This window comes from Homo sapiens, chromosome 19 (genome assembly GCF_000001405.40).
Source record: "Homo sapiens chromosome 19, GRCh38.p14 Primary Assembly".
NCBI lineage: Eukaryota > Metazoa > Chordata > Mammalia > Primates > Hominidae > Homo > Homo sapiens.
In genome coordinates, this window is record NC_000019.10 from 18859941 (window position 1) to 18868444 (window position 8504).

Below are 8504 nucleotides of genomic sequence, written 5' to 3' on the forward strand. Positions count from 1 at the left end.
TCACACACAAGTCAGTTGTAGGGGCTGTGGCGCCTTTAAGGCAAGCTTCTGGAAGGAAGCAGGAGAATATCCTGTATCCTGGGGTTGGCAGAGATCCAGGCTGCAAGAAAGCCCTGGCTGAGACCCTGTTCCCTGTTCAGGGGCTGAGCCAGCTCTGTGCTGGCCATGGTGCTCTCGGTGGCCTCTCCTCAGCCTTGCCCAATCCTGGGCATCTCTGGCCAGGGGACCGGCTCAGGTGACCTCACCAGGGCCTCACAGATCGAAGTCTCCTGCCCCAGGACCTGCAGCACTGTAGCGTAGCAACTACATTGCCCTGTGTCTGAACTCATTTGAGGCGGGCTAGGGCTTTTGAAGTGTTACTTCTTTCCCTCCCCTCACAGCGGATCGTGTGAAGAAGGGATTTGACTTCCAGTGGCCCCAACCCGATAAACCGATGTTCTTCTACGTGACCCAGGGCCAAGAGGAGATTGCCAGCTCGGGCACCTCCTACCTGAACAGGTGAGCAGGGACAGGCCCACCGGCGTCTGCAGGTCTTGGGGACAGCTTGAGAGGTTGTTGACCCATTCTACTTATTTTTAACATGGGACTGAAACTTTTTTTGCCTTCATTTCCTGTTTAGCCTGTTTAGACTCTAAACCGTGTTGTTTCTGCCTCCTTTTCCATTGTACTTGTTTTTTATTGGGCAGATACTTGCTAATCCCACATGGCAGCCGTTTCTGCCCCTCGAGACTCCCCTGGTGAAGGCTGGGGAAGCTCAGCTGTGCAAACGCCAGTGATGGCAGCTGCCTTCCCGCAGGGTGTTGTGTCTGCACCCCTCACGGCCTCCAGCCTCAGGGCTCGGGATCCCACAGGTGGAGCCCAGCACTGACAGCCTGGGTTTCTTAGGACCGAGGCTGCGAACGTGGAGAAGATCACCACGAAGTTGCTGAAGGCAGGCGCCAAGCCGGACCAGATTGGCATCATCACGCCCTACGAGGGCCAGCGCTCCTACCTGGTGCAGTACATGCAGTTCAGCGGCTCCCTGCACACCAAGCTCTACCAGGTGCGCTGCGCCCTCGGGCACACTTGGTCTCCTGGGCCATGCAAGGGTATTGACCCTTGACCTTTAAGTTACCCCCCAAGAGGGGCCCGTCCTGGCTGGAGCTCAGAATGGCCCAGGAAGCACCAGCTGGCCCACCCTCTGGGGAGGGCACAGACAGCACATCCCCACAGACCCTGCGAAATTCCACATGATCAGGACAGAGACTTTGAGAAATACATCACAGGGATCAGAAACATGGGCTGAGATTGGCACATCAAGGTGTTTTCTCGGGATGGTTGAAACAAGTCCAAGGTGGAACGGCAGTGGTCTGTGCCTGCCACACACTGGATGTTGTGCTGTGGAGACCGTGGTGTTCACACCTTTATTGACACCCGGATGAAACACCCACTGCGGGTGTGTGGGGAGGAGGCACAGCTCTGCCTCCATGAGGAAATGAGCCCAAGTGCTGAGTCTGAGTGGCCACATGGCAGTGGTTTCTGTTCTGTTTTTGAGCACGGCTCAGGTTCTCTGGGATGAGCACGTGTGCTCTTAGTGCTGAGAAACAAATCTCCGTGGCTAAAAGAGAACAGGCTAGGTGTCATGGCCCACACCTGGAGTCCCAGCACTTTGGGAGGCTGAGGCAGGGAAGTCGCTTGAGGCTAGGAGTTCCAGACCAACCTGGGCAACGTAGGGAGACCCTGCCTCCACCAAAAAAAAATAATAACTGGGTATGGTGGCATGTGTCTATGGTCCCAGCTACTCAGGAGACTGAGGTGGGATCAGCTGAGCCTGGGAGGTCAAGGCTGCAGCGAGCTGAGATTGTACCACTGTACTCTAGCCTGGGTGACAGAGCAAGATCCTGTCTCTAAAAAAAGAAAACAAAACGAAATGGCAGCAGAGCCAGGACAGCCCCTAGGTGCGGTGAGCAGGCGCCAGGCCCCAAGCTCCCGGGTGGGATTTGAGGGTGGGTCTTGGTGTGTTTCCTGCATTTTGGGGGGACTGGGAAGGCAGCCTGCTGGCTGATAGTGACCACAAAGCTCCCTTCCAGGAGGTGGAGATCGCCAGTGTGGACGCCTTTCAGGGACGCGAGAAGGACTTCATCATCCTGTCCTGTGTGCGGGCCAACGAGCACCAAGGCATTGGCTTTTTAAATGACCCCAGGCGTCTGAACGTGGCCCTGACCAGAGCAAGGTAGGGAGGCTGCCTGCTGCATGCTGCCCAGCCGCTCATCGGTCCTCACTTCCCAGGGAATTTGGGGCTAGGGTTGGGGGTTGCCAGGGCCAGAGGTCAGAGGACTCTGAGCAGCAGTTGAGAAACGATGTCTCACTGGAGAGATCTTTGTTTCCGTGTCCTGGGGGTTTGCTGTGGCCCCTGTGCCTCAGCCCAGCAGGACGTATTTTTCCAGGCCCTTCTGGTCTGATTCAAAATAAATCTTGTGTGTGTCTGTCAAGTTGTTTAATCTGAGAGGCTGTAAGTTTTGGTCCTGTCCACTATTTTTGGTTCTAAAATACAACTTTTGTGAACTGATGATAGCAGAAGGGACCCCGAGAACAAGGTGTCCATTCTGTCATCCCACATAAAACTAGACATCAGGCCAGGCATGGTGTCTCACACATGTAATCCCAGCACTTTGGGAGGCCGAGGCAGGTGGATCACCTGAGGTCAGGTGTTCTCGACCAGCCTAACATGGTGAAACCTCCTCTCTACTAAATACAAAAAAATGAGCCGGGCGTGGTGGCACATGCCTGTAATCTGAGCTACTTGGGAGGCTGAAACAGGAGAATCGCTTGTACCTGGGAGGAGGAGGTTGTGGTGAGCCGAGATTGCGCCATTACACTCCAGCCACTGGGCAACAAGAGCAAAACTCTGTCTCCAAAGGAAAAAAAAAAACACTAGACAGCAAGGACCCATTCACCAGCTGGAAGTTGGGGGGACCTGGCCTGTGGCTCCACCCAGCACAGGGAGAGAGCCTGGTGCTCCTTCCGGCTCATATGCGCGGTGGTTCTCCTCTAGGTCACCATGGCTTTGTCATTGGTTACTCCCTCTTTCTAAGGCGCCCTCTTGTTTGGTGGGCAGTATTGGGTGGGTCCCCCCACAGCTTCGTGAGGTGGGCTAGAGGAGCTGGGCATCGGGTCAGTGCCCCGGCCTGCTGGGGGCCCTGTGGGGCCGCGTGTGCCCCGGTGCCTGGAAGGCCGACTCTCTTGACAGCAGGTCTTCTCTCCAAACGTATCCACCCAGCCAGGTGTCTGCCATGGGGCTGCTTAGAGTCGGCCACAAAATCAACCCGTGTGCAGGGTCAGTGGCTTGGCATTGGGCTTTGGGGCCTGTCCCTGTGGCTGGCAGCCTGCCTGCTGCCCGGTCCACGCCTCTGTTGCCTTGGATTTGGGTTCTGAGTGAATGCAGCCTTGCCTCTTGGACCGTCCTGTGAGACGGGCAGCTCTCCACCTGCGTCCTCAGCACTGCGCCCTTGTTGCAGGTATGGCGTCATCATTGTGGGCAACCCGAAGGCACTATCAAAGCAGCCGCTCTGGAACCACCTGCTGAACTACTATAAGGAGCAGAAGGTGCTGGTGGAGGGGCCGCTCAACAACCTGCGTGAGAGCCTCATGCAGTTCAGCAAGCCACGGAAGCTGGTCAACACTATCAACCCGGTGAGCGCCTGCACAGGACAGCAGGGCAGCACGGAGAAACCCGGGCCCAAAACACTGCTGGGAACGTGCCAGCTTGGCCCGTGTGCCCGTGAGCTGAGGGAGGGCTCTCCTAGGGGAGGGTGGGCTCTCCTAGGGGAGGGTGGGCCAGCCCACTTCTTGTCTCCCGAGCCGTGTGTGGCATTTTTGGCTTGGGGCCGCTAAGTCCTGGGTGGCCTCTGGGAATTGGGCTCAGGGCTGCTGTGCTGCATGCAGCAGCCTGGGACCTTGGACACGGGCAGTTGGAAGCTTTGCAAGCCCGGGGTGATCTGGTAGTGAGGGGGTGTGAAGCTTCCTGAGCTGAGGCCCAAGGGTCAGCATCAGAGCCCAGGTCTGCCGAGGAGGGCAGGCGAGACCCAGAGGCCATGAGACAGCAGCTCCCTCCTGTCTCCAGGGAGAGCCCCTGGCACAGTGTCAACACCTCACAGCTGCATACCTGCCACCTCCCAGGCCACCGGGCCCGTGGGAAGTTGTTCCTTCTGTTGAGATGACAAATTCCTCACCTATCTAAACCTTCGCAGGGAGCCCGCTTCATGACCACAGCCATGTATGATGCCCGGGAGGCCATCATCCCAGGCTCCGTCTATGATCGGAGCAGCCAGGGTGAGTCGCTCAGCAGGGGACCTGGCCGACCCCTTGTCCTCACACCGGGATGCTGGCCGTTCCCATGGCTGCAGCTTTAGGTGCCCCCATCTTTCCTTCCCCTCAAGGGCGGTGCCTGGCTCCCTTGGCCTCCCCGCCCCTAGGGCATCTCTAGCCCCGGAACACTCCTGGGGTGTTTGTCTTTAACCAGAGTTTATTCATTTGTGTTTCCTGGTGATCAAGCTAGTTAGCTTTTTCTTGCCTTTTGGTAGGGCAGGGACTGCATGTAGTACAAATAGAACATTTTCATAAAAAGGATTTTTTTTTTCCTTTGGTAAATGCAGGGTGATTTTCATTTATTTTCTTTTTTTTGTTTAGAGACAGGGTCTCCCTATGTTGTCCAGGCTGGTCTCAAACTCCTGCCTCAAGCAGTCCTTCTGCTCAGCCTCCCAAAGTGCTGGGATTACAGGCGTGAGTCACTGCACCTGGCCAATTTGCAGGTGTTTTTTTTTTTTTTTTTTTTTTTGGAGACCGAGTCTCGCTCTGTTGCCCAAGCTGGAGTACAGTGGTGTGATCTTGGCTCACTGCAACCTCCCCCTCTGGGTTCAAGCGATTCTCCTGCCTTGGCCTCCCGAGTAGCTGGGATTACAAGCACCCACCACCATGCCCGGCTAGTTTTTGTGTTTTTAGTAGAAACGAGGTTTCGCCATGTTGGCCTGGCTGGTCTCAAACTCCTGATCTCAGGTGGTCCACCTCGGCTTCCCAGAGTGCTGGGATTATAGGCTTGAGCCAACACGCCCGGCCCCAATTTTCAGTTTTTAAGATCTGTGTAGGCCAATGATTCCCAGCAGACTCTCCTCGGGGAAGGTGCCTGCCCAAGCACCCAGCCCCAGGCAGGCTGCTGTAGTTAACATGGAGTCCTGCGAATCCGCATCTTCAGCCTGGGCAGAGCCAGGACAGATGTGCAGCTCCGGCTGACTGGCTGGTGGGGTGGGTGGGGTATCGCTGGGGTTTGACCGAGGCAGGTGACACCTGCCGTGTTCCACTGTGATTTGCAGGCCGGCCTTCCAGCATGTACTTCCAGACCCATGACCAGATTGGCATGATCAGTGCCGGCCCTAGCCACGTGGCTGCCATGAACATTCCCATCCCCTTCAACCTGGTCATGCCACCCATGCCACCGCCTGGCTATTTTGGACAAGCCAACGGGCCTGCTGCAGGTGAGCATCTGTGGCTGCGGCTGGGTGTGGCCCTCCTGAGAGCTCTTGAGGGTGTGCTTGTCTGCGAGGCCCTGGCCTCCTTCGGATCACCCTGGACTGCTGTCTTTCAGGGCGAGGCACCCCGAAAGGCAAGACTGGTCGTGGGGGACGCCAGAAGAACCGCTTTGGGCTTCCTGGACCCAGCCAGACTAACCTCCCCAACAGCCAAGCCAGCCAGGATGTGGCGTCACAGCCCTTCTCTCAGGGCGCCCTGACGCAGGGCTACATCTCCATGAGCCAGCCTTCCCAGATGAGCCAGCCCGGCCTCTCCCAGCCGGAGCTGTCCCAGGTGAGCCCGCCCCTGGGACGGGACTTACCTGAGTGAGGGTGGGGCTATGCACCTGAAACATTCCCTCTGAAGAGCCCCAGAGAGCTGGCCTGGCCCATGTCCACTGTCTGAATTACCTGTCCCTGGGCTGGGGTCATCAGAGTGGGTCTCCTGGGTCTTAGTTTGGGGACGGGTTTTCCATTCTTTTCTCTGGGGCTGCTGAGGGCTGGGTGGATGTGAGCACCCTTGGCCTGTGGCTTGCTTACCTCCTGACCTTGTCTTTCAGGACAGTTACCTTGGTGACGAGTTTAAATCACAAATCGACGTGGCGCTCTCACAGGACTCCACGTACCAGGGAGAGCGGGCTTACCAGCATGGCGGGGTGACGGGGCTGTCCCAGTATTAAAAGGCAAGCCCCCCTGGAGCAGGCCTGGCCCCACCCCAGCCTCAAGGAGAAGGATGGGAGGGGGCTCTCCCCAGGGAGCTGCACTGGAGGGGTGGTATCTGGAAATGTGTGCTGTGCCTGGTGGGGGTCATAGGCCCTCAGGGCCAGCTTGGCCTGTGCCCTTCACTGCTAGTCAGGGTGGCTCCTCACCCCACCCTACCCCATCCTGTCTGCTCCGGGGACCACCGCGGGACCTCAGTTTCCTCATCAGAGTCGGGGAGGGCAGCTCGGGCTCTCCCTCACTGTCCTGTGTGCTGGGTACCTGTGGGGCTCAGGTCGCAGCCTCTCACCGCCTCCTGCCCTTCTCCCTCCTGACAGGTGGCGGCGGAAGAGCTAAGCAACGTGGCTTAGTCCATCAGCATCTTATTCTGGGTAATAAAAAATAAAAATAAACGGATACCTGTTTTCCACTGCTAAAACTGAAGCACCACTGTGTGAGCAACAGGAAGGGAGAGCGCACGAGGGAGAGGAGCCGAGGCCGAGCGCCCCCTGCTGGCCCGCGGCGGCGAGGAGCAGAGGGAGCGGAGGAGGGGCCGGCCCGCGGGAGCCGCGGCCACCAGGAGGCCCCGCTCCGTCCCATCGGGGCTGCGGCCAGGGCGGAGGGAGGAAGACCCTCATCTCAGAGTAGCCCTTTCCTCTGTTCTTTTATTTCTTTTTCTCTTTGATTGAAAGGGGACTACGTCTTAGCAGGAAAAAAAACTTCGCATTTCTGTGCCCGAGCAGGCTCCTTGCAAAGACAGCAGCGTGCGGGGCAGAGCCCCGGGAGGGCGCGTCTGTCCACGCCTACCGGACGCGCCGAGGTCGCGCTGCCTGTGTTCTCCGAGGGCCTTCATTTAAAGAAAATAAGGGTGTTTTGGGTTTTTCTCTTTGTTTTTTTCAAGATTCTTTTAAAGGAGTACTGAAGAATACTTTCCTAAGTTTGTCTGTAAAATCTTAGCGGTGGACCTGGGAGATTTGAGAAGCTTCCAGAAACAGTTTAAACAAGCCAGCGCTACTGGAGAAGAGGAGCAACACCTGTGCCGCGGCCGGAGGAGTTTTGTTGTTGGTTTTAGCTTCCAGTGGCTTCTTTCTGCGGGGCATCAGGCTGCTGGGGTAGCCGCCCGCCGAGCCTGGAAGCTGCTCGTTCTCCGCTGGACTCAGAAGCCAAGCTGCTTCCCGCCTAGACTCGGCGCAGGGCCCCGCACCGGTGAGGAAGGTGCTTTTGGCCCCATTGCGAGGGGCCTTGGCCAGGACTGGCCCTGTGGCCAGGAGGCGAGAAGGTGGCTGTTCCCGGATTGACGGCTTTTTCCCGGGGGCCTTTGGAAGATTTGGTGGAAGGACAAGAGGGCCTGTCCCTGTCCCCGTCCCCAGGAGGTACCGACAGTCCCTGTGCTGGTTAGACACGGAGCGCTGCACACCGAAAGCCCAAATTGGGAGCTCTGCCTGCCGGCAACTTTGCTGATGGGGTGATTGCTGCTTCTGGGGGGTAAGGAAACAAGTTACAGAAATTACCGCGTTCTGTGTGAAGGGACTGAGGGTGTGGTGTCATTGGCAGAGGGTCATTTTAGGAGAGCTGCCCCAGCCCCTCGAACGCCTGGCTTGGGGTGTCATTCTGCCTGGCGGCCAGGCCTCCAGCTTCCCCTGCCCCGGGCCTGGGGCTGTCACTGGCCCTGATCCGAACACCTCCAGATTCCGGCTTCTACATGGGACAGACGGGGACGCACAGGCCACCTTCCTTCTGGCAGGGACTCTTATTTATTCCCATTGCTCTAGGGCTTTCGGTTTCCCCTTCTTCCGGTAGGCCGCGTAGAGGCATGCACCGGGTAGGTTTCCGCGGTGACCCCGCGGCGGCCTGAGGGACGCTCCCTGCCCCATCCCGGCTGTTGGGCTGGGCCGCTTTGCCTCTGCTTCGCCCTGTGCTGTGTTCTCCAGCTTTGTAGCAGCAGCCTTGACAAACCCAGGCGCACTGTACCAAGGCAATGTAACTTTTGATTTTCGGTCAATTTAAGTTCTTTTGTCACCAAATATTAATAAACAGTTTTGACTTCACACCAAGGTTGGATAAACTGCAGGGGGTGGAGGGTGCTGGGGTTTTGCCTTGGCTGAGTGACGGGTTGGGGTGTGAAGGAGGCCAGAGGGAGACAGGCAAAGCCCAGAAGGGACAGGTCTGCCTTGCAGGACTGAAGGGCGACCCCTGCCCCTGGGCCCTTCCCGTAGGCAGCACCTGGGCCTGTCCGGGCGGCTCCCCGGAGTGGCGCGTTAG

The 8504-nt window shown here is 57.7% G+C and overlaps 1 protein-coding gene across 5 annotated transcripts in view, besides 1 other annotated feature; it reads left to right on the forward strand.

Annotated features, from left to right (window-relative positions):
- UPF1 (UPF1 RNA helicase and ATPase) overlaps positions 1–8290 on the forward strand; it is a 36272-nt gene extending 27982 nt beyond the window's left edge. For all 5 annotated transcript variants that reach the window (XM_017027105.3, NM_001297549.2, XM_017027106.3 and 2 more), the window contains exons 16-24: positions 381–498; positions 886–1042; positions 2070–2212; positions 3498–3672; positions 4230–4311; positions 5349–5510; positions 5621–5838; positions 6104–6226; positions 6581–8290. In XM_017027105.3, the coding sequence (XP_016882594.1) occupies positions 381–498; positions 886–1042; positions 2070–2212; positions 3498–3672; positions 4230–4311; positions 5349–5510; positions 5621–5838; positions 6104–6223 (1175 nt within the window). In that variant the 3' untranslated portion in view covers positions 6224–6226; positions 6581–8290. The remainder of the gene's footprint in view (positions 1–380; positions 499–885; positions 1043–2069; positions 2213–3497; positions 3673–4229; positions 4312–5348; positions 5511–5620; positions 5839–6103; positions 6227–6580) is intronic.
- Positions 6676–6875: a silencer, noted in NCBI's record as "silent region_10422". NCBI's record gives its function as "represses an Ori minimal core promoter by ATAC-STARR-seq in GM12878 lymphoblastoid cells {active_cell/tissue: GM12878}" and the evidence as "EXISTENCE:reporter gene assay evidence [ECO:0000049][PMID:35858748]".